The sequence below is a fragment of the Homo sapiens genome, chromosome 12 (assembly GCF_000001405.40).
Source record: "Homo sapiens chromosome 12, GRCh38.p14 Primary Assembly".
Taxonomy (NCBI): domain Eukaryota; kingdom Metazoa; phylum Chordata; class Mammalia; order Primates; family Hominidae; genus Homo; species Homo sapiens.
The window spans coordinates 29,455,176-29,480,943 of NC_000012.12; the positions used below are offsets into that span (position 1 = coordinate 29,455,176).

General features: G+C 37.2%; 1 protein-coding gene and 1 long non-coding RNA gene across 16 annotated transcripts in view; one reads left to right on the top strand and one right to left on the bottom strand.

Moving 5' to 3' along the window:
* Positions 1-25,768, top strand: part of OVCH1-AS1 (OVCH1 antisense RNA 1) — a 98,031-nt gene that overhangs the window by 65,882 nt on the left and 6,381 nt on the right. The window contains exons 2-3 of one of the 3 annotated variants that reach the window (NR_073170.1): positions 6,559-6,759; positions 9,230-9,755. The exons of 1 other annotated variant lie outside the window; for it this stretch is intronic. This is a non-coding gene — a long non-coding RNA (OVCH1 antisense RNA 1). Of the gene's footprint in view, positions 1-6,558; positions 6,760-9,229; positions 9,756-25,768 lie in introns of those variants that run through there. One more of the 3 variants, NR_073171.1, reaches the window with a different exon arrangement.
* OVCH1 (ovochymase 1) overlaps positions 1-25,768 on the bottom strand; it is a 95,519-nt gene that overhangs the window by 53,008 nt on the left and 16,743 nt on the right. For 7 of the 13 annotated variants that reach the window (XM_024448968.2, XM_011520638.3, NM_001353179.2 and 4 more), the window contains exons 10-20: positions 23,660-23,793; positions 22,166-22,303; positions 21,927-22,057; positions 21,031-21,124; positions 19,886-20,014; positions 17,854-17,928; positions 16,627-16,807; positions 9,972-10,044; positions 9,332-9,527; positions 6,679-6,833; positions 74-230 (exon numbers count right to left, since the gene is read on the bottom strand). In XM_024448968.2, coding sequence (XP_024304736.1) covers positions 74-230; positions 6,679-6,833; positions 9,332-9,527; positions 9,972-10,044; positions 16,627-16,807; positions 17,854-17,928; positions 19,886-20,014; positions 21,031-21,124; positions 21,927-22,057; positions 22,166-22,303; positions 23,660-23,793 — 1,463 coding nt within the window. Of the gene's footprint in view, positions 1-73; positions 231-2,569; positions 5,180-6,678; positions 6,834-9,331; positions 9,528-9,971; positions 10,045-16,626; positions 16,808-17,853; positions 17,929-18,045; positions 18,231-19,885; positions 20,015-21,030; positions 21,125-21,926; positions 22,058-22,165; positions 22,304-23,659; positions 23,794-25,768 lie in introns of those variants that run through there. The other 6 variants (XM_011520641.3, XM_011520640.3, XM_047428780.1 and 3 more) reach the window with 6 other exon arrangements.

The following is a 25,768-nucleotide window of genomic DNA, read 5'->3' on the forward strand; positions in this document are numbered from 1 at the left end:
ACCACACTCACTGTTCCCAAACCCACTCTAAAGAAAGAGGTTATTGTTTTAATAACATTTGAAAACAATTTACCATTGATTTTTGATTGGATCCAGTCCAAGAAGATCATCACTCTGGCAAATACACCCGGCTTCCATGGCTGGACACAGCCAGCTCCCCAGCTGACAATGCCATAGAGGACAAAGGGACCATTTTCATGTCTACATACTAGTGGCCCACCAGAGTCTCCCTGAAACACCAAGAAAACATGTTTTAGAAAACTGCTTTAATCTGAAGCTCCTGCTTTCAGTTTTTAGAACAAGAATGACCAATAATGTATTTGTAATGTGTTTAATTCCTTAAAGATTTGTTTTGTCAATTTCCATCTTTACATACTATCTATTCACTGTTTTGCAAAAGGAAACAAAATTTATGAACAATCAGATGGTAATTTGATTCCAGGGTGAAGATAAAGCTTAGTTCACATAAAAAGAAAACAATTACATTACTAAATCTTCCCAGCCCCATCGGAGGGAGATAGTCTTTAAATTATATCAATTAGTAAAACTGTAATATTTAAGATTTCAAGCATCTTTTTAAAACAAAAATTTAATCAGAAAACTGCACAGTGGCTCAGATGGATCCATCACAAGAAATGTGCTGCCTGTTTTTTTCTTTTTTTAAATTTTTTTAAGGAAATCGGGTTAGGGTCATTGGGTGGTAACCTCTATATGTAGTGTTTTCCCTATCACTGGTCACTCTTGACACAATCTAATCAGATCAAAGAGTAGAGTTATGACATACACAGAGAAATTAGGGTGTTGGTGGTGAGGTGAAGAAAAGTTAAAGGCTGACTTAAATCTATTAAAATGTATTCATTCTAATTCTAGTATTCCAATTTTATTTTGGCTTACCTGCAGATACCAAAGTTGCACAATTTCAAAGACTTTAAGGGCCAAACTAATTTAACTTACTAGGATATTAGATGTGAAAAGTTACAATTAGAGAAATAAGTGACCTGTCCCATTTCACACACATAGGTAGTAGCAGCAGTAAAATCTGAGTCCATGTCACCTGCCAAAGTTCAGTGCTCTTTCCCTTCCACCAAACTGATAAATGTTCATTAATGGACCTACCTTAAACTGCTCTAGTATCTGGCTTACATAATTATTGAATTCAAGGAAAGACACATGGAAATTTAACTTATAGTTAATTTTTTGTACTCTCTTAGATATGGCTAATTTGGTCATGATGAAACACATTTCAAAAGGCAAAAATACTACCCACAAGCACTAAGAAGCTCTCGTAGATGGAAGCGTCTCTCTTGAATATTTCTCTCAATATTTGCATTGTTTAAATTGACAAATTATAAGCAGAAAGAGATTTTGAAGAAAACAAACAGTGGTATTGTTATTAAGGGAACCAAAATATGTACATCACACACATTTATCTATTAATTAGCACTAACATCTTCTACATGTCTCTTGAGGTTCAATGTGAAAATCAATGGCAGCACCAAATACATGCCCTTGTTTATGTCTGTATTTACAACATGTGCCCCATTTGAGGGTAAGCACTGCATCTGATTCAACTTTGTACCCTAGGAAACCTACCACAATATCCAGCACTAACACATGCTAAATAAATGTTTGCCTAATTTACGGTGAAATTTTATAAACCAGTTGTATCAAACCAAGCCTTAATACATAGGATTTTCATCGTTTTAGGTTAGGCTTTCCAATTTTTAATCAGGTCTTTTGCAGGAAGTGGATGAACACAAATGTATTTAGGACCAAACTAAGTCCTTTATTTGTCTTCTTGTAAGATAAATTGTGTACATATTTGATAGCACATAAATTGCTGGTACATATTTGAAATATCTACTTTATATAAAGAATTTAACAGAAGAAACCTTAAGTAGGGAAAAAAGAGATACAGTTGCTAGTCTGTAATGTAGAACAATTAACCTTTCCTCTGGGCCTAATTTTTTCACATAACAATTATACTTAAAACCCTCTTCCAGTTGTTTCCAGTTGGACAATGGTCTGATGTATCCAGTCAAGTGTTTTATTTTAAATCATTGATTTTTTTCAGTACCAATGCATAGCCAATACATCATTTTTCAGGCAATTACAAACATTCCATGATACAGGGAACCTGTTCAATTTATCTCTTTTTGCCAGTGCCTATCATATGGTCCAGTCCATAGTAAATATTCAGCAAACAAATGAATTTTTTTTTTTTTTTTTTTTTTTTTTTTTTTGGTGAGACAGAGTCTTGCTCTGTCTCCCAGGCTGGAGTGCAGTGGTGTGATCTCGGCTCACTGCAAGCCCCGCCTCCTGGTTTCAAGCGATTTTCCTGCCTTAGCCTCCCGAGTAGCTGGGACTACAGACGCGCACCGTCAAGCCCGGCTAATTTTTTGTATTTTTAGTAGAGACAGGGTTTCACCATGTTGGCCAGGATGGTCTCGATCTGCTGACCTCATGATCCGCCTGCCTTGGCCTCCCAAAGTGCTGGGATTACAGGTGTGAGCCACTGCACCTGGCCACAAATGAATATTTTTTATTAAAAAATTATTCAATGCCTACTGTGAGCCAGACATACCGAGTAAGACAGAGTATAAACAAATAAGATGCTAATAGTAGCTATAAAGGAAATACTCAGAGTGAATAGTAAAGAATAAAGGTAGTTATATGTTTGCTTACATGTGCATGTATGTGTATACAGTTTCAATAACATTTGAGCTGATGCATAAAGGATGAGAAGGAGCCAGCTTTCCAAAAACCTGGAGGAACAACATTTTATGCAAAAGATATATCTGGGCTTAGGCTCTAAGGCAAGATATGGTCAGTTGGAAGGCTAGAAGGCAAATCAATGTGGCTGAGGACATATATTATTCTGTGAAGATAGAGATCTATGACTTTGTAGATGAAAAGAAGTTAGAAAAAATACCAATGACATTTTTCACAGAAATAGAAAAATAATCATAAAATGTATATGGAACCACAAAAGACTCAGAACAGCCAAGCAATCCTGAGCAAAAAGAACAGAATTGGAATGATCACATTACCTGACTTCGAATTATATTACAAAGCTATAGTAACCAAAACAGCACAGTACTGGCATAAAAACAGACTCATAGAACAATGGAACAGAATAGAAAACCCAGAAAAAAAATCCATACATCTACATTGAACTCATTTTTGACAAAGGTGCAAAAAAAAAAATACATTGGGGAAAGGACAGTCACTTTGATAAATGGTGCTGGGAAAATTGGATGTCCTTAATACAGAAGAATGAAAGTAGTTCCCTATTCCTCACCATTTGCAAAAGTCAAATCAAAATGGATTAAAGACTCAAATCTAAGACCTCAAACTATAAAATTAATAAAAAACAACATTGAGGAAACTTTCCAGGATTCTGGACTGGACAAAGATTTCTTTAGTAATACCCCACAAGCTCAGGTAACCAAAGCAAAAATGGACACATAAGATCATATCATGTTAAAAATCTTCTGCACTGCAAAGGAAACAAAGCCAAGAGACAACTCACAGAATGGGAAAAATTTCTGCAAACTACCCATCTGATGTGAGATTAATAACCAGAATATTTAAGGAGCTCAAATAACTCTATAGAAAAAATCTAATAATCTGATTTTAAAAATGGACAAAAGATCTGAATAGATATTTCTCAAAAGAAGACATACAAATGGCAAACAGGTATATGAAAAGGTGCTCAACATCATTGATCAGAGAAATGCAAATCAAAACTACAATGAGATATCATCTCACCCTAGTTAAAATGGCTTTTATCCAAAAGACAGGCAATAACAAATGCTTATAGGGAGGTGGAGAAAAAGGGAACCCATGTACATTATTGATGAGAATATCAATTAGTACAACCACTATACAGAATAGTGTGGACATTCCTCAAAAAAATAATACAAATACCATTGATCTAGCAATCCCACTCCTAGGTATACATCCAAAAGAAAGGAAATCAAGATATTGAAAAGTTATCTGCACTCCCATGTCTATTGCAACACTATTCACAATGACCAAGATTTGGAAGCAGCCTAAGTATCCATCAACAGATGAATGGATAAAGAAAATGTGGTTCATATACACAATGGAGTACTACTCAGCCATACAAAAGACTGAGATCCTACCATTTGCAACAATGTGTATGGAGCTGGAGGTCATTATGTGAAGTTAAATAAGCCAGGCACAGAAAGACAAACTTCACCTGTTCTCATTTATTTGTAGGAGCTAAAAATCAAAACAACATAACTCATGGGGATAGAGTATAGAAGGATGATTACCAGAGGCTGGGAAGTGTAGTGGGTGAGTATAGGGGAAGTGGGAATAATTAATGGGTACAAAAAAATAGAATGAAAAAAATAGTATTTGATAGCACAACAGGGTAACTACAGTCAATAATAATTTAATTCTGCATTTAAAAATCACTAAAACGATATGATTGGATTGTTTGTAACACAAATTATAAATGCTTGAAGTGATGTGTATACCCAATTTACCCTGATGTGATTATTCCTTGTATCCCTGTATCAAAATCTCATGTCCCCCATAAATATATATGCCTACTATATACCCACAAAATTAAAAATTAAAAAAGAACTTAGAATAAAAAATCTGAAAGCCAGTTAGCAAAGAATAACAGGATACTACGTTGCGTATCTGAAAACCCCATGTCTCTGCATTCCAATATTATTATTCCCACCTTCCTGGATGAGAAAGCACATTATCAGGTCTATTACCTCTAAGTATACACAGGAGAATAAAAATCAATTACCTGATAGAAGTATTAGAGACTATTTTATCAAAGCAAGTTTCTAAAGTCACCCTTCTAGTAACTCAGTGTTCTTTGTAATAGAAAGCTAGCCATATTTATTAAAATCTCAACTTCCAGTTTTCCTCCCATATATGGGCAGTACATTTGGTCATGCTGCAGCCAAAGTGACAGTTGTATATAACTGAAAAGATAAGTGCCAACTGAGATCATGATATTTAGGTCACCTGTGACATGGATCTTTCTAAGACCCTCTCTAGTTCTTTTCTTTCCGCACAAAATAAGCTCACCTTGTAATGTTAGATGCTGTCAAATATGTAAAAGACAACATAATTAGTTGTGATTTTCTTGTTGAAGAAAGAAAAGCCATCCCTCAAATCCTACAATAGACTGAGGGGAAGAATGAACACATTAATTCAGAGTACTTTTGTGATTTTTATCAGATAACATTTATGTACTCTAGCAGACAGCAGGAGTGCACTTTCCGTATTCCTCACATCTTCCAGCCCATGTCCTGGCTCTGTGCCTGGGGTCTTCCCCACTCTCCACTACACCCAGGAGGCAACCCTAAAGTATCGGAAATGCTGAGGGATTAACAGCCATTTCCCACAGCAGCCCTCAAACTATGGCTCAAGGGAAAGTAGTACATAAATATCCCAGCTCCCTCGCTCCTCAGATGGATAAATTCACCACGTGTATTTAGCATCACTGCCCTGAGTTTCCTGCAGGATTAAGCATTAGGCCCTCACTATGGCAGATGGCTTAATAATGCATCCTAGATTGGCTGCCTTCCCTTCCCTGTACCATCTCCTCCCTTTCCTACTGGTGATATCTATGATTCCTAAAACAGACCATTGTACCAGAATCCTTATCTCAGGGTCTGCTTCTGGGGAATGCAAATAAAGATATGCAAAATTCAAACAGAATTTAAGCAAGGCTTGACATTATAAAAGGAAGGCGTTAATGACAATAAACTTATATTCAGTGTTAAAGGGGACTTCATTGCCTCTCTCATATTTTCACATGGAAGGACGTCCACCTAGATTAATGCCCAGTTGTGTCTCCCTCATGGAGGTGAAATCTATTGCTGCATGTTTCTTGACTGAGTGGTGGGGAAAACTATCAAAGAGCTGCAGAAACAAGATTCATTCTTTCTTTCCTCTCTACACCAGACCAGCAGGAGTGATAAGTCTGGAGAATTTGGGCTCCCCTATGGACCCAAACTTTCCCTTACTTGGGTAGCCCCACATCCAAACCAGGGATTGGAGGTAGGCACACGGAGTGTTAGGAAGTCTTAGGTTGTATGTATATCTAAAGTCACATTCTTCCATTGACTTTGTGAAGGTTAAAGCTGGCATTCTACAATCTGTTTATTCATATTCTGTCTTTTTCTTGGTTAATTATGATCTTGCCAATATCAAGCTTGTACAATAGACATCTTTGTGATTATTTTAACTTGTGGAAAATTAAGTGAGAGTACAGAGATTAATGATAATTTAAAACAATAAAACTTTTAAGTCATAAGTAGGACACATAAGTTTAGAACCTTTCTTTGTTATTCCTTTTCCCAAAGCCTTATTTGTACCTGAACACATCTTCCCTTGCTCAGGCCTGCTTAGAAGCTCTGCCATTTCCTGCCTTCTCACCAGCTCCTCTATGAACCCACCGGCCTTTGTCGCTGTACAGCTGCTTCCGGCCACTCTCTGACATCTCAGCAAATTCGGATTAATTAACTTATTACTTCTGTTGCCCCACTGGTCTTCATGCAGGGATATGATATTGAAGCACGTGACAAGTTGGTGATTTCAGCAATGGTTTCTCCTGTCTATAGAAACTCTTCAGCAGATGGCAATTTTCCACCTTCCTGTATAAAACCAGAATCCTCTCACCTGGCAGAAATCTTTCTCTCCAGATGCTGCAAAGCCAGCACAGATCATCTTCTCTGTGATCCCTCCTGGATGGGCAGAATAGTAAGTGTGTTCACAGACCTCTCTTTCTAACACATGCACTTGAATCTGCTGTAGGCGACTTGCTAGGCCACCATCTAATGAAGAAACATTCAGAGAGAGCTCGATGATGAAGTAAGCAGAAAGTGTTGTTAGAAATGTATTTAAGTTCAGATGTAGCTCTGTACCAACATAGCTGAAGTCATTCAGTTTGGCCTGAGCTGATGTAGAATTCTGAATTTAAAAAATACAAGTGTTTCATGTAACATGTCTTCATTTCCCAATTTGGCATTTTTGTAAAGAGAGGCCACTGGCAGGAGAATAAAACCAGAAACACTTTTTTTCTAGCTTATTTTCAATTTAAATGTTAGTGTATCAAATATTTCTGCATAAGAATTCAGGAAGAAAAATTCAGCATGATATGAATTGGTGTCACATATAACTTATACAATTATAAATATATATGGTTATATATTTATATACATAAATATATAATTGCTTACAAATAATATGCTTATATGATTTCCTAATATAAACAAAAATCATAATCCTGTTCTTCATCTACTGTCATTGAAGCCTAATCGCATCTCCAATTAAAGATAACACTGAATAATTTATTTTCATATTTGATCCTTAGGCAGGCCTGTGTTAACATGTATTTTGCATGACTCATCCTATCATTTTAGATTTATGACCAATTTTTTTAAGTTTAATATTTTATAGCCCTATACCTTTTGGGGCAATATTAATAACAAGTACTTTACATTTATATAGTATCTTAATATTTGTAAAGAGTTTTATTCCAACCTAATAATACAACAACATTTTTCATATGTGAGATCAGGTTAATCACACTGATCTCACATATGAAAAAGCCAGACCTCTGAAAATTTGATCTCACAGCTCTTACGGGACAGAACTAGGATCAAGCCTAAGTTCAACTCTAAATCTTGCATTCTTCTTAATATACTAAAACTCCTCTTCTTGGGGACCATCTCCCTTAGTGTTACTGACCATATCCCAGAAATCAAGATTCATTTCCTCTCCTAGCTGGAAAGAATGAATTCGTCTTTTATAAGACTACCTCTCAGTTGCCTGGTAGTCATGGAATTGGTAAAAGTCAAAGGTATTAGAGAGCAGGCACATTTATTCAAGGGCTTTGAAGCTGGTAAGCCAAGAAATATTTACTGAATGCCATGTATGCTTCTAGCCTTGGGGAGAGAGGAGTCAAGACAGATCTGCCTCCAAGAGGTTCTCAGTCTAGTGGGTTAGATGTAGAAGATGACTGCATAAAATCATGCCAACTACATTAACATGCAGTGAGAGGATAAAACCAGGTAGTGCGGAATGTGATGGGAGGCCCGTCCTGCTGCAGCAATGTGGGCCACGAAAGGAAGTGATATTTTGGTTGAAAATGCAATAATGAGCAGGCAGCTGTGACAAGATTGTAATAAGAGTGTTCCAAGTAGGAGGACACAAAATGGGGAACTTCAGAAAGCAGAGCAAGCTTGGTGTTTAAGAGAAAGAAGAAAGGCCACGGTATCTGAAGGTTAACCACAAGAAAAATAGAGGGAAATTATGTGGAAGAGGTTAAGTGGGGAGGCCCAATCACACAGAGCTTTCCAAGCTAGGCTAAGAAGTTCAGATTTGATTGTATGTGTAATGAGAAGCCATTAAGATTATAAGCTGAGCCACACTGATCTTAAATCCTCAATTTGATATTTATTAGTTATGGGATCTCAGCAAGTTACTTAAATCTTTGGGTTACAACCTCTCCATTTGTAAAATGGGGATGATAAAAGCTCCTCATGTGTTGGGTGTGAAGATTTTTACGAAAGTGCAATTTGGCTTCAGGTAGCACAGTAAGCTGTCAATATCAACACTGTAAGCAGTCAAATATAAATTCCCTCCTCCTTCAAGCTCACAGATTCCAAATAAATGACATATAGAAAGGAAATATACAAAGAAAATGATCTTGTATGGTATAAGAAGCACAAAACAAATATCAACCCATTCAGATCTTTCACTGTTTTACTAAGCCTTTAAGAGTTCTATACCATAGCCAGGGGTGAGCACATGACAGCCAGTGGATAAATTCTGTGCCACCCCCAAACACGGGCACAAGCCATTAAATAAGAATGGTTTGTACATTTTTAGGTGGTTGAAGAAAATCCAAAGAATGATATTTCATGACACGTGCACATTAAATGAAATTTAAATTTTATAAATTAAGTTCTGTTGGAACCCATTCTGTTACATAATGCCAATGGCTGCTTTATGCTATAACAGTAGACTTAAATAGTTGTGATAGAGACCAGATGACCTGCAAAGCCTAAAAGGATTATTATCTGGCCCATTACAGTAAAGGTTTGTTGACTGCTCATCTAGCCTACTTATAATCTAAGTTACCCTGAAGGAAAAGTTTTAAATAGCTCATTCTCTATTTACTTGCTGATCTGTTACAGCTAAATAAAACATGGTTTCTATCTTTTAGAAAGAAGAGGGGCTGAAGCGGATGCTGCTTGATATCATTTACATGACCTATTTTCAAAAATAACAACTGGCATTAATGTTTATGCAACAAAAATATGCTTACCTGCACTGATGCTTCCCCATCCGGTCACAGCACAGATCTCCGAGGAAAATAGAGGCTCTGCGCTGTGTGGGAGACATACTGGCCTCACCACCGAGTTGTACTCCAGAGGAGAGCTTAGTTGTATTAGGGCAATGTCAGAGTCATAACTTAGTGTGTTAAAGTCTTCATGCACTATTATGTGTTTGGCCCTTCTCACCTGTATCGGTGGCAAGTAAGCAAATTACAACGTAAGAAAGTCAAAGAATCCAGCAACTTCCTTGTTGATGGTCCAAAATAATCCTAAATTTCTGCACTTACATACATAAACAATGCAGAAGACTTTCTATTAAATTTAAAAGAGCAATATTGGTTTACAATTTGCAGGGGGCTATGAACCACCTTCTGGATAAAGGTGGTGCTGGAGAAATAAAGCTTTGAAAACCTGTGTCCATGGGCCTAAATTTGCAATTCTGACCTACTTCCTGCAATTCTCAAGTGAAAATGTAATCTCAAATTGCATTTTTAAATGTGGGTATAAATAATAAGTGTGAAAGGGCCCTAGGAGATTAATAACTAATTACATATTTTAGCTAAAGGTATTCCTTGGCATGTGACAACATTTAGATTACAGGCAGAATGACCTGTAAAAACATTTTTTCACCTGCTCTGTTGATTCCTTCAGGTTTCTGTCATGGTCCCCAGCAATAATAGTCCAGGAGAGTGGATTATTCTTCCTGGAGACAGAAGAACAGTGAAAGTTTGACATGAAAACACATTTGTATTAGTTTGTTCTCACACTGCTATAAAGGACTCTGAGACTATAAAGTCTTTCTGAAGACGTTCTGAGGAAAAGAGGTTTATGAAGAAGAGGTTTAATTGACTTACAATTCTGCATGGCTGGGGAGGCCTCAGGAAACTTACAATCATGGCTGAAGGCAAAGGGGAAGCAAGCACATCTTATCACAGCAAAGCAGAAGAGAGAGAGCAAAGGAAGCCACACACTTTTGAACCATCAGATCTTGCAAGAACTCACTATCAGGTGAACAGGTAGGGAGGGAAACCACCCTACCATCATCTGGCTCTACTAACATGCACTGCTCAGTTCAGCGAGGCAACAGTCCCCTGTCCCATTGCCTCTGCGATCTCCCTCCCAGGGAAGCCACATCATGCCTTCTGATCTATGTGAAAAGGAGCTCTTGATCATGTATCCTGCCCCTTTCTTTTGACCATAAAGTATCATTGGAAACCTTGCCAAATATCACCAAAGGCTTTTTTTAGGTCGAGGAGGAAAAATGAAAATAATTAAAGCTTAATTTCACAGTGATGTTAAGAATATGTTTAAAAAAGACTTGGAACCAACCCAAACATCCATCAATGATAGACTGGATTAAGAAAATGTGGCACACATACACCATGGAATACTACACAGCCATAAAAAAGGATGAGTTCATGTCCTTTGTAGGGACACGGATGAAGCTGGAAACCAACATTCTCAGCAAACTATCGCAAGGGCAAAAAACCAGACACCGCATGTTCTCACTCGTAGGTGGGAATTGAATAATGAGAACACCTAGACACAGGAAGGGGAAGATCACACACCGGGGACTGTTGTGGGGTGGGGGGAGGGGGGAGGGATAGCATTAGGAGATATACCTAATGTAAATGATAAGTTAATGGGTGCAGCACACCAACATGGCACATGTATGCATATGTAACAAACCTGCACGTTGTGCACATGTACCCTAGAACTTAAAGTATAATAAAAAATATATACAAAAAAATCATAAGGAAGAGAAAATACGTTTCTCTTAATACTGTATTTATCTCAGTACTGTATTTATCAATATCTTAAATTTGTTTAATAAATAATAAAAATCTTTGCAAGAAAAAAAGAATATGTTTAAAAAATTATATCTGTGACAAGGTAGCTTCTGGTCTATATTTTACTGTTCAACATTGCCGAATTATGATCTCACTGGGTCATATCTCAGATCGTCATCTTTTGTTAAATCAGAGTTATGAAACTAAAGTTCAAAGGAATTTATCAGTTTAAAAATTGGCAAAACTCAACTATTGCGTTAGAAATCAGAATGCTGATTACTTTTAGGGGAGTGATGACTGGAAGAGGCACAAGGGCGGCTGCTGGGTACTAGTAATGCAGTATTTTGTTTCTTGATCTGGGTGTTGGTTACATGGGTGTTCATTTTGTGAAAAGTTCTGCCTACTTCTGATACACCTCAAAATGATGTTAAGAAGTTTGAATCAATATCCATTAATTTCTCGTATCAAGATCTCCAGCTGAAAAAGTGTCTGAGGAAAGAGTCCCTCTACTGGAACCAATACACTGTCACTTCTACTTGGAGACTAATTCTTCCATTTAATTCTTCCATTTCTTTAAACACTGTTTCTTCAGGAAAAGTAAAGTTACTCAAATTATTTTTCAATATACCTTATTTAAAGGTGAAGATTCTTAATGCATGTAGGCATTTTCTCCACAGTCATAACCATGCTCATTTCAATTCCTTGCATAATGGGTTTGACTTACTCATGTGTTTCAATATGCCTTTATTAACGGAGCTAACTCAAGTGAAGCACTTGGCAAGTACCTGGTAGATGATAATGACTCCATAATGGTAGCCATTATCATTCTTATTATCTGCCATGCACGCTACTGGAAGGATTAAACTTTTTCAAAGTCACCCTCTAAATAATTACTTAGTAGTGAAGAAACTTCTTAAATCTACTCCACATCTTTATATAGAAGAGAGTGTATACAATACAATGAAGTAATAAGAATGATGGTAGAATTGACAATGTAGTCCACAGTTTCTCATGATGTTTTACATGTACAGTCAGCAAATATCCTTCAGTTTAATGGAGAACACTGCACAAACACGACAAAGCCACATGCACTTTATGATACCACAAAGCTTAAGATTTTTCCAATAGTAGGAACATAGCTCAAGGTATCAATTGATGGATTTCTTCACCTTTTCTTCCCCCTCTCCCATATAAAATTTCATTTCTTATAGTCTTAGGATCTTATACCCAACCCAACAGTGGAGCATGTGTCACTTATTGCTATGGAAGAAGAGAGAGCCACCTGACTTTATCACAGAAAGAAAGTCACTGAAGTTTCAGTAGCTGATTTAAATTTTAGACAAAAGATTCACATATATAATTGCAAAGTGAGCTTGGTCTCCAAAAGTAAGATAAAAGTCCCAATGAGCACAAAATCCTGTGTGGAATTAACAAGATGAGAACACCAGATTTTCCTAAGTGTGGAACACCACCATCAGGAAATTCTCAGGCCCCACACCAGACTTAAAGAATCAGAAGCTCTCCAGGTGATTCTGGAGTATGCTGAAGTTTGAGAATTAATACTGGAGTCAACCAGTGCCAGGGAAGCTAAAAGGCAGGGCACGTGTAGGACATAGGGTTTTTGTTACACCAGCGTATGAGCACACTCCTGGTGTAAAGATCCACACACTTCAAGGATTAGATTTAAAAAGACATTTCACTGGTCAAATAACTTAGGCAACTGTGAAGTATTAAAAAATGTGGCACATAGACATTTACCATACCACTATAATTATAAGATATAATGTTATGTGCAAAAAAAGTGATATATACAAGTACTATAAAATATATGCATGTACGTTTAAATATTAGTGGAAAATCAGACAGCTGAAACATTCTTAATATTGATGACTTCTAGAGAAAAATAGTGTGTTAGAGAAATGGAGAGGGTAGTTTAAGCTCTTGCTTGATAACCTTCTCTAACTGCCTTTTTCCCCAAAAGCATTACTATTATAATACATATTTTTAAAGAAATTAAGAAGTCAAAAATGAAATTAAATACAAATTCTTTTTGTGACTAACAAGTGGCTCACAAGCATTTACAGCTGTTTATTAATTTCAATTGATTCATCAAGTGGAATATCTATCTTGGGAAGAATAGGTTTGTTATATTCTGTATCTTGCTGTAAGGCGTCATGGCTCATCACATAAATTTCAGAATAGACCATGTAATTTGAAAAGGGAATCTACCAAAGCTTTTTCTGCGTCTCTGTACTCAATACTAATATTTTCTTTTCTAATACATTAATTTTCACAAATTAATCGGCTACTCTTGAGGCATCTTTTCCATGGTACGTTCAATGCACTTTGATAGAATTCTTATAAAAATAGGTTTTTGTAAGGGAGAGAAGGCCTAGACAGAACCAGGTGGTACTGAATTAGCATTGAAAATATTGTATGAACTCATGTTTAGCTTGATGTAGATACAGATAGATATATTTATATACATGGGTGAGTATACATACCTATATTTTCTAGCTCTGTCAGCTGAGAGGGCCTAGGATCAACAATGTGCTACTAGCAACTACTATACCCAGCATCAGATCATGATTTATCATACCATTCTCCAAAAAAATGAACCAGGGCTCCTTGGAGAAATGGCTGGTGCTAGAACTGAGAAGGAAATACACATGATAGACCTAGAGTATCTTGCAGTGTTACAAAAGGATGAGGGAGTGTCAAAGAGACACAGAAAACAAAGGACTGGTCTCAAGCTCTGAAAGAGCTCACAATGGCCAAAGCTGGAACAATTTGAATGTGGGCTACCTTTACTGACTTGTTTCCCAAAAGTAAGTATGGAAAGGGGGAAAAATGTAACTTTACATTAGAGAAACCTGGTAAACACTATCTCAGCCAGATGGTCAAGGTTAACATCAGTGATAAGTCATGTTGACTGTATGAACCCTTGATATATAATAAGAATAGTATGCTACTTCTGTGGTCTTTCTTCCCCAAATCCATAACCTCAGTAAAACCTTGACAAAAATGTCAGACAAACTAAACTGAGGGACATAGGGATGTTCTACAAAAAAAACAGATGAGGTCTCCTCAAAATGACCAAGGGAAGTCTTAGAAGTTTACAGCCAAGAAGAGCCTGAGGAGACTTGACAACTAAACATAATGAGCTGCCCTGAAGCAGCAACTACAATGACCTTGAGACAGGAACAAGCTCAGCACATCTGAGCAACAGAAAGACCCATGAGGCTGGCCTGCTGGGAGCAAGCAGGGAAATGATCAAGAAGGGGTCAGGAAAGTGGGGCACTGTGGGTCACGCCTGTAATCCCAGCACTTTGGGAAGCCAAGGTGGGAGGATTGCTTGAGTTCAAGAGTTCAAGACCAGTCTGTGCAACATAGCAAGACCCCGTGTCTTAAAAAAAAAAAAGTCGGGCATGGTGGCATGTATCTGTAGTCCCAGCTGCTCAGAAGGTTGAGGTGGGAGGATCCCTTGAGCCCCACAGGTAAGACTAAAGTGAGCTATGATCATGCCACTGCATTCCAGTCTGTGACAGAGAGACTGGTTCTCAAAACAAGATGGGGTCAGGGAGGCAGGGAGTGGTTCTTGACCCTCTGCACATTAGAATCATTTGGGAAGCTTTTCAAAAATATCAATGCCCCAGAACCTACTCACAAGGGATTGCTTTAGTCTGGATCGAAAACAAATTACAGTTATACACAGCCACATGGCTTACTCTACACAAGGTATTACGGAGATGAAGTAAGACACAAGAATATAAACTACAATTGTTACATAAAGATCAAAACCAAGAAAAACCAAATGATATACTGCTTTAGGGATACATATATGTTAAAATCCCCCAAAAGCAATGGTATGAATATAGCATTTAAGAAATTTAGCATAGTATTTTTTTCTCTTTTGATTTTTTAAAAATTTTAAGTTCTGGGATACATGTGCAGAATCTGCAGGTTTGTTATATAGGTATACATCTGCCACAGTGGTTTGCTGCACTTATCAACCTGTCGTCTAGGTTTTAAGCCCCACATGCATTAGGTATTTGTCCTAATGCTCTCCCTCCCCTTGTCTCCCAACCCCTGTGTTTTTCCCCTCCCTGTGTCCATGTGTTCTCATTGTTCAACTCCCACTTATGAGTGAGAACATGCATTGTTTGGTTTTCTGTTCCTGTGTTAGTTCGCTGAGAATGATGGCTTCCAGCTTTATCCATGTCCCTGCAAAGGAGATGATCTCATTCTTTTTTATGATTGCATAGTATTCCATGGTATATATGTGCCACATTTTCTTTAACCAATCTATCATTGATGGGCGTTTGAGTTGGTTCCAAGTCTTTGCTATTGTGAATAGTGCTGCAATAAACATATGTGTGCATGTGTCTTTATAGTAGAATTATTTATAATCTTTTGGGTATATACCCAGTAATGTGATTGCTAGGTCAATTGGTATTTCTGGTTCTAGGTCCTTGAGGAATCGCCACACTGTCTTCCACAATGGTTGAACTAATTTACATTCCCACCAACAGTGTAAAAGCGTTCCTATTTCTCTACATCCACTCCAGCATCTGTTGTTTCCTGACTTTTTAATAATCACCATTCTGATGGGTGTGAGATGGTATCTCATTGTGGTTTTGATTTGCATTTCTCTAATGACCAGTGATATTGAGCTTTTTTTCATATATTTGTTGGCCACATAAATGTCTTTTTTGAGAAGTGTCTGTTCATATCCTTTGCCCACTTTTTGATGGGGTTGTTAGTTTTTTTCCTTGTAAATTTAGCATAGTATTTCTTAAGAGGGATTCTAAGGGGTCTCGAAAGGTGAGTATAAAGATTCTTCCTAAACTGGATGCTGGGAATACAAATGCTCATTTAACATTAATATCTATTCTTTAAACTACAAATATATTATGTATATTATTTCATATAATGGAAGACTTCACAATTTAAGAACATTTAAAACTTAACCAAAATTTTATTTCCCCAGTAGTGCAATAATCAAGGCGGTAGGTTATTCTATTGTGGTCTCCACTGACATGATCCATATTTGCAAAGGAACAATCCTAAACCAATCTGGTGGAAGGTGGCTTGTGTGGTAAGGCGTCTGGAATTACTAACAACCAACAGTGGAACTATGAGCACTTAGCTTAAAGATTAAACTAAAGGGGAACATGAGAGGAGTCTTCAAATATAGAAAGAAGAACCTGACTTAGTTTTGGAACTACAGTACATTTAGACCAGTGGATTTCTGCAATTGGGAAGCAAAACAAAATAAGAGATCTATTTAAACGGGATAAGCAGTCAAGATTTGATTAACTTTTCCTTCACTGACATTGTTTAAATAGTAGCTAGATGGCTATGCAGAAGAAACACTAAAAGAAGATTCTTGCTCTAGAATTAGTCTGGATGATCTTAGTAGTCAGCCTTGTGTCCTAGGCATTACTTACAAATGCATGTGCTAAATAGGTTGGTAAAATACCAGTTTCACTCACAATTGCACACAGTGGGCTGCGGTCAGAATCCACACTGGGTTGATGATGGCACCTCCACATTGGTAATCGCCTAGAAACCTCAGACCCACCTGCCATGGCCAACAGTGGGGGCAGGCTTCTTCCCCTCCTGCGATTCTTCTGGAAAGCCACTGGGGACTAAATGGAGGGATGCCACAGACATCTACAGTAAAGATGAAACCAATGACCCATAAGGTTGCAGTAATTTAGAACATACTCCTCCAATAGCTTGCCATAGTTAACAGTAGTGATTCTCAAACATCAGATAGGCTTTATAATAATATTGACTCCCAAAACTCACCTCTGAAAAATCTGATTTTAAGAAGCCTTCCCAGACTATGCTAGGCAACCAGAATTTTAGGGACTGGCCTACAGAATTTTATTTATTCATTTAGCAAATATTTATTTAGTGCTTGCCATTTGCTAGGCACTGTTCCAGACATTGGTGATATATTATTGGTGGAATAGAATAGATGATAAAAATACTGGCCCCCATGGAACTTACATTCTAGTAGGAAAATTTCAAGTTTGTTAGCAGAGTACATAAGGTTCTTCATTATATCTTCTTGTTTTAGTTCTTGTTCTCACTGTATGAATCCATGTATCAATCCTCAAACATATCAAATTTGCTCAGGCATCTAAATGCTGTTCTCTTATCAGGAATTGATGAGACCCATAGCCCAAGCACTAATCTCTAGGAAGCCTTCTCCAACCCTCCAGCAACAGGCAGATATTTTCTTCTCTAATAGCTCCTTGTGCAACTTTCTATTCCAGTCCATCAACTTGAACATATTCAATACATGTATGTGGAACAATGAGGGATCATAGTATTTACCCAGATGCCTTAGAGCATAAGGAAATTAAAAGATGCCAGTGTGAATTTAAAATAAAAAACCTTTGTTTTCTCTCTTTGCCCCACACTGACTATAGAAGTCATTTTAAATATTAAGTTTGTAGAGGAATGAATGAGGACAAAACATTGCTTTATACCCTTTTCTTCCTAACCTAAAGCTCATTTGTTCTTCCCTCTATTTATGAGTCTAACTATAAATCCAAATATGACTCTGGACGTTTTATGGACCTAAATATAAGACTCATTCTTCTTCACTGTGGAGTTATAGCCAATGTAAGATAAGGGCTTCCAAAAGAGACATCTAGTTAATGAAGAAACAAGATTAAACAGATAGTAATAACATGTCACCAACTCACCATGCAGAATAGCTTTTACGGTAGATACAGGATTGTTTTGGGGAGGTAACTTTGGTTCAAATTTGTTTAAAGACTCTGTAGAAGAAAAAAAAATTAATTGAAAGTAATTAGAGAAGTTGCACTAACTGACCCCACTTGCTTACCCTGGTAAATCATAAAACTACTCTACTGTAGATCTCACTAACACTACCATTCATACACTAGATGCCAGATCCCAGAAATGTGATTTCTTGTATATCCGTTAATATCCCTGTTCCATCTGGCTCTTTTAAGCACTTCTTCCTTCCTTGGTTTCTTGATATTAATCTCATGGTTTTCCTTATACATTGATGGCTGTTTTCAATATCAGTCTTTTTTTCAGGATCTCATTGTTTAGCCTGAAAAGATATTGCCAAGGTAATGTTCATTACTCTATTTTTATTCATCTACATGTAGATGACTTCCAAATTTCTCTCTTCAATCTAAATCTCTTTCCTGAATCCTAGACCTAAGACTTTTAGATATCCCCACTTGGATTTCCCACAAGCTAATATCTACATGTCTTAAATTGAACCAAATGATTTTAAGAGTCAATACAGTCTTGTTCTTACATTTCTCTATCATCTAGTGGCTTCTACCACTCACCTCGCCATTCAAGCTAGGATCTTGAAAATCATATTTGTGATGGTTAATACTGAGTGTCAACTTGATTGGATTGAGGGACACAAAGTATTAATCCTGGGTGTGTCTGTGTGGGTGTTGCCAAAAGAATTTAACATTTGAGTTAGTGGGCTGGGGAAGGCAGATCCACCCTTAATCTGGTGGGCACAATCTAATCAGCTTCCAGCTAACATAAAGCAGGCAGAAAAACATGTAAACAGAGATGGGCCTAGCCTCCCAGCCTACATCTTTCTTCCATGCTGGATGCTTCCTGCCCTAGAACACTGGACTCCAAGTTCTTCAGTTTTGGGACTCGGACTGGCTTTCCTTGCTCCTCAGCTTGCAGACAGCCTACTGTGGGACCTTGTGATCATGTAAGTTAATACTTAATAAACACACACACACATACACACACACACACACACACACACACACACATATATATATCTGTCCCTCTAAGAGAACCCTGACTAATACAACACTGGACTTGTCTTCCTTCATATATTCCATCCCTACTATATATATAATAAAACAATACGTATAGAATAAATTCTTTACAATGATTTTCTCAGTACTTTTCTTGCATGTAAGTTCATTCATAATCTTCCAGGTTACTCTGGAGTCAGAGAGGCCAAGTTCTGACTCCACCTCTTGCCAGCTGTGTATCTTTGGGAACGTTACTTAACTTCTCAAAGCCTCACTTCCCTCACTGGTGAGAGGAGAGCAATGCACATAACTCCTATGTATGTAAGGAGGAATAAATGAGATAATGCATGTGAAATGCTTAGTGAATACCTGCTACAGGGCAAGTAATCAAAAGTTAGCTAGCTATCCTATCACTCTGGCACTTATAATTTAATGCCTCATGTTCAACATGATCTCACTCCTGCCTTTTCTATTATTCCCTCCAAAACTCAAAACATGTAGAGTTATTTGTAGTTTTCTTATACGTTGTCCATTCTCTTTTGTGAGGGTTTCTGCATATGATATTCTTTTTGTCTGAGTAGCACGTACTTTATCTTCCAGAGTGCCAGGATACCTATTAATTCTTCAAAGCCCCCTAACTTGGTAAAATAGAGTCAGTCAATCTCATTTCTGAATTACCTTCTTTAATCCTAATTCTATTGTTTCTGTATGTGGCGTGTGGAATCTTTATGTTCCAGTGGATGCCATTTCTTGAGCATTAACTGAGGTGCTTCCTAAAGCACAGATTCCTGGGCCCCATCCCAGATCTACAGAATCTAGGTTTCTAGGGGTGGATCCAGAAATCTGCATTTTTGTTATGCTTACCAAGGGGATTGCTATACTACATTGAGGTAAACATGGCTAAATTATCTTCCCTGTAACCATTTGCATAAACAAAAGTCCTTATTACACAAATGTTTATACTCACCTGAGGGCAAAATGGTAAATCTGGCCTTGAAGCCTTGTAAACGATTTTTACCATCACTTTTAAAGTATATCACCGTCATGTTACTAGAACTGAATATTGAAGTGATGGTCAACATTCCACAAAGTTTAGCTGAAAAAATTTTAGGAAAGTTTGATTTATAGTTATATTTTTAAAAAATCAGAACACACAGTAAAATAATCACCCAATTTTCTAATCAACTACTTTAGTTTTCTCCAACTTTGATTTGTATGCACCCTTACATCTCATGTGAGAATTAAATGTTAGTTTCACAATAACAATGCGCTGTAATTTTAATTGCACAGAAAAAGCTCTAAAATAAGGACATTTGATTTCCAGTACGCCCGGAAACTCAACTGGTTATTACTTTGTAGACAATAAGAAGAGGTAGGTTTAAAAAAAAAAACACCCAAGTTGGTGTATTCCTTCTTCCAAAGAGGACATAAGCATACTTTATAAGAGAGGTAACACTCGAAGTCACTTTCATGAAAACCTCACACTATACATGCACTGTTATGCAGAATTATGGCATTGTGCTCTCACTAACCTGCCCTTAATGTCTAAATAAATATTCCAAACCAATCTATAATCCTAGCCTCTAACCCACAAAAACATCCAGCTGAGGGACAGATACTAGGTCCTGAAAAAGTGGTTAGAGGGCTGGAAGTTAAATCTTCAAACTCAGTAAATTGTTAGGTCACGATTAAAAGTATATTTGAAGTTTTAAAAGTCTTAAAATTAATTGTCAGACCCACGTAGAAATTATAGCTTTTGGTTACTTTTCCTGGACACAAATACCAAAATATCAGCAACAGAAGGAATTAATACAGAAAGCAGGAAGCTGTAAAATTTACCTTAAATAATTGCAGTTTCTCTGGCGACTGCCTTTTCACCTTACATGCAGTCTGAAACAATCTTTACATTTTGCACATTTCCATTAAAAACTTTACTGGCGAATTAGTTGCTGGCTCATAGGTTTTAAAGCTAAAGTTGTATGGCATTCTGAGTTTCCAAAGCAAGAAATTCACATTCCCACTCTACGTTCTGGTACCCAAGGAAGCCAGCCCATGTTGCCACTACTCTGATTCGTCTAACACTTTCATATTTAAAGGGTGAAGTCTACCTACCTAACTTGTGCTTTTCTTCAGAATCACCGTAAATCACAACAGCATCATAAATACAGTTTGGACTAAATTTGACAGCAAAGTCCTCAAATGTCAACTGTGCAAATGGAAACATAACCAGGGAAATGGTCAAAGAAGAGAAGAGAGAAGCTTAAAGGGTTTTCCTCTGTGTATTTAAAGGCTCTTTGTCACATCCTCATATGCCTTCACATAGAAGTGTAAATAATTGCAGTCTCTTTGAAGGGCAATTTGGCAACGACTACCAGGTTTAAATGTGCAAACCCTTTGACCCAGCGAATCTAATTCTGGGAATTATACATATCCACATGTATCCAAAGGCACTGGCAGATATTCATGGCACCATGGCTGGCATGACCAAAGACTGGAAGCTCAGTAAACACCTGCTAATAGGGAACTGGTTTAATGTGTTCTGAAATATCATACAATATTTTATGCAGTTATTAAGAAGAGCTCTGTGGGCTCATCTGGAAAGATCTTTGAGATATTTTTCAGTGACCAAGGCATTGCCAAGCAGCATAAGTACACACGCGCGCACACACACACACACACACACACACACACACACACACACACACACACACACAGGTTAGTAAATGCTCAAAATACCTCCCAAGGACACTAGTAAGTTATCAGTGTTTGCCTCCAGGGGTAGAATGGGAATCTGATGAGGAGCCTTACTTTTCATTGGATACACTTTTAAACCACTGAAAGTTTTCAAAACCACTCACAGAGATTTCTTTTCAGAGTAAAAAAAAATGGCAAATGGCTAAAAGAAGCTCCTAGTCATAATGGCAATTTAACAATCCAGATGAATTAAGTTCTGCCTAACTAACGTAACTCTATTCTTTATGAGGTAGAGCGATTCCTCAGTTGCCTACCTTTATAATGTGCTTCTCTGGAGCACAAATGAACCAATGACACCTTGTGTTACTGGGATACAAATCAGGATACTTGGCAGAGTGATTTGTCCCTTCTTCTACCAATATAGCCAGACTCCCACAACCTGACCCTGTGGAAGCATTGGGGAAATTCAAAGTGAATGGCCAAAGACATTTTCTCCTCTTCCCCACCCACATCAAGGGAAAATGGCAAGGAATTAAATACCTGAAACACTCACCTGCTTCTGACTTCTGTACAGCAGTAACGGTAAGCTCAAAGCCACTGCCACTGTCTTCTGTATCAGAAACAAATGGAACCATGGCCTCACTGGTCTCTGCCAGCAATGGTGAAGGCAATATTTTTCCACAGACCTTACCTTAAAAGAAGAGAAGGAAAGTGAAATAACATTACTAAAAAGTGGTGGAAACTTACACGTTTGTTTTGTTTTCCATCGTCTTCCATGAGAGATCTCTGATCTAAACACACTAAACTATTTAATGGTCCTTTGATCATTCAACATTCCCTGCTTCAGTGACTTTGCTATTCCAGTCTCCTTCTCAACCCCCCAGTCTCACATGTCCAAATTCTACTTATTCTTCAGGGCCTAACTCAAAATTCAGCTCTCTGATAAACTCTACCAGACAACCACTGGAAATAAGAGCTACCTTTTTTGAATCAGCGCAGCACTTCCCTGTTCTAATGGCATTTCCTACTTTGTTTTACACCTTTGATTACCTCAAACTACAAATTTATTTGGGCAGAGTGCTTTTTCTCAAAAAACGTCCAGTACCTGCTATGATATATACAGTTAATTTTTAACAAATGATTGGTTGAAAGAATAATTACTGTGTAAATAGCAGGCCTGAGCATGAAATAATTTAGACAATAAATATTATAACCCCTAGTACAATACTTTGTCTATAACTTCCTGTCAAATATGTGTGAAGAGACATTTGTCCTAACCATTGGCCTTATAGAGAACTAGAGATCCAGGTCTATACCAGCTGTGGAGAGCTTCTATCATGGTTAACACAGAGTATTTCAACAAAATTAGATATATTGGTTATGTTTATGTAGCTTATAAGAGGTATTCAATAAAATAAATTGAATGACATGAAATGATCAATTGTGTTATGAGAAGGAAATTACATCAAACAATGTAAAGTTCAAAGTGTATGTGTAAATAGATACACCTGTAAGTGCTGGTAGAGATTATCTCTAGGTGACAGGGTTATGAATGGTTTCTACTTTCTTCCTTTGGCTCATCTGTATTTACCAAATTTGGTAAACATGTACCCACTTTTGTGATAAAAATAATAAAAAAAACTGCCTCAAAAGGAAGTTTTCTGACAACTGTGACATCAATTGCATTCAATACTGTTAGTGAACTTGAGAAAGGAATGTGGGATCTGGTTCCTAACTTAGAAAAACACTGAAAAGAATGGTCAGTGTGTTGATCACTGTCTCCACTCTTACTCCCTCCCCTTAACCCTTCTAGAAGGGAAAAGTCTGTAAGATAAGATCATTGCCCTTGGTAGAATAAAAGAAATTTTATTTTTTTATTTTTGTTTTTTTGAGTAAAGTGAAAGCAAGTTTATTAGGAAAGTAAAGGAATAAATAATGGCTACTCCATAGGCAGAGCAGCCAGAAATTTTATTTTAGATCCTTTAGCATCTCTTTGGTCTTTCAGATACTCTAAAATGACAAATAAAAACAAATGTAACATACTTACTAAAAAGCACTCCACTGCTTGATCGTAAAGATACATAGTCATGATCACATCCAACTTGCTTTTCCATGTCTAAACTTGTAAATTTTATCAGGATTATTTTATCTTCTGGTACCATTATTTTCCAAACATATAAGCTGGGGTAGGGGAAGGTGAAGAAAATGTAATAAATGGAAGAGTCAGATTTGCTAAATAAAATCTAATACCTGTGCTTTAGCTCACAACTCAACAACCATACAATTTTATAGAATACGAGAAGATAAAAGGCAATAGAACATTGTGAGAAAAATTCGTGCTCAAATTAATAACATTTATCTGACAAATAGATGAGTATTAATTGGAGAATGACCAGAAACCACCCCTTAAATTTCATTTAGTTATAAAATGCTAGAATTTTGATGTATAAATTGAAGAAACCTAAGATTCATGTGAGTTATTCACCTAATTAAAATTCATACTATTCACCCAGAGGTTGAATTATGGTTCTCATGAATTATGAATGGACCATACAGCGTATGCTAACCTTAAACAGCCACATATTCCAAGGTCATCCTAAGTCACAGTCTCTGGGTTAAAATGTCATCTCTCTAACTCCCAGTAAGGTCAGCTGTGACTTTTTGCTAACATTTTTAAAAGCATATCTCAACTTGAGATAGTAGTCTTATGTAATTTGACACATAATCCCTTACCTTCATTTTCATACATAAATTTATTATTCAAGAAAATAAATCCTAGTGGGCCATAAATCCTAGCTTCTTCCATGTCTCACCTTCACCTGAATGCAAAGCAATCTTACCTAGAATCTAACATGTTGGAATTAACTCTTTCCAAAATTCAGCAGTCTTTACCTTAGACCTATTAACAGCCTCACTACCCTTTACAAATATTAAGGACTTTCGGAATTAGTCAAGTATTTTATGCCCAGTTTCCAAAAAGCAAACACTAATAATTTTTTTTTTAACCGGACATCTTAATTGGCAACTCTTTTTTTTCTTTTTTTTTTTTTTTTTGAGACTGAGTCTCACTCTGTCACCCAGGCTGGAGTGCAGTGGCGCAATCTCAGCTCACTGCAACCTACACCTCCCAGGTTCAAGCGATTCTTCTGCCTCAGCCTCCCAAGTAGCTGGGACTGCAGGCATGCACCACCATGCCCAGCTAACTTATGTATTTTTAGTAGAGACAGGGTTTCACCATATTGGCCAGGCTGGTCTTGAACTCCTGACCTCATGACCTGCCCACCTCAGCTTCCCAAAGTGCTGGGATTACAGGTGTGAGCCACCATGCCCAGCCGGAAACTCTTTAGTGTTTTTCTATTCAAGTCCATCATCCTGAATATAGATGTAAATATAAGCTGTCTAAAATATTATAAAGTTCACTTGCTAAGCACTTCAATGGAAAAAAGCACTCCACATCCATCATCCTTTTTGAGATTAATTACATCTCTCTGAGGTAGGCAGGAGAGAAATTACCCATTTCCAAATGGGAAAATTGGCATTGATAACAAAAGATTCATCACATCTCTTGTATAAGTGGAACTGTAGTTTAGGCTTTATGACTTCAAAGGCCAGTACTTTCTCAAATTGTTCCATCATCTAATTATTTTCGTCCTCAAAATCTCTAGCTGAAAGATGAAAAATAGGTTTCAAATCTATGCCAACTTTGATTTATTATTAGTGATTGCTGTTTTAAGAGGATTTTGAAGTCTGGTCAAGCTAAGTGAGAGAGGGGTCCCCAAACTAACCATTGATCTATTAATTCAAATAATCTATGGAGCATTTATTATGTGCCAGGCACTGATCTAGGCTCTGAGAAATGCAATGTCTCTCATGGATATGAAAGGAAGGAGGGCAACCTGGGTGGTATCTGTCATTTCTGAGAATCCAGCTACCACCTACCAGAATACAGAGAGGCTTGGAGGGACTGTGTAACTCTCTCCTCCTTCTTTATATTATCTCTGTCTCCCTTATGATTTCCTAGTTAGCTCCAGTTGGAATTCACAAAACCCTTTCACTATCTAAGGCTACTCAGCATGCTGAAGAAGTCACTGACTGTGCAAATTGGCCCTATACTCGTTTCTAAAGCACAATTTTTTCACATTTGCACATTCTAAAA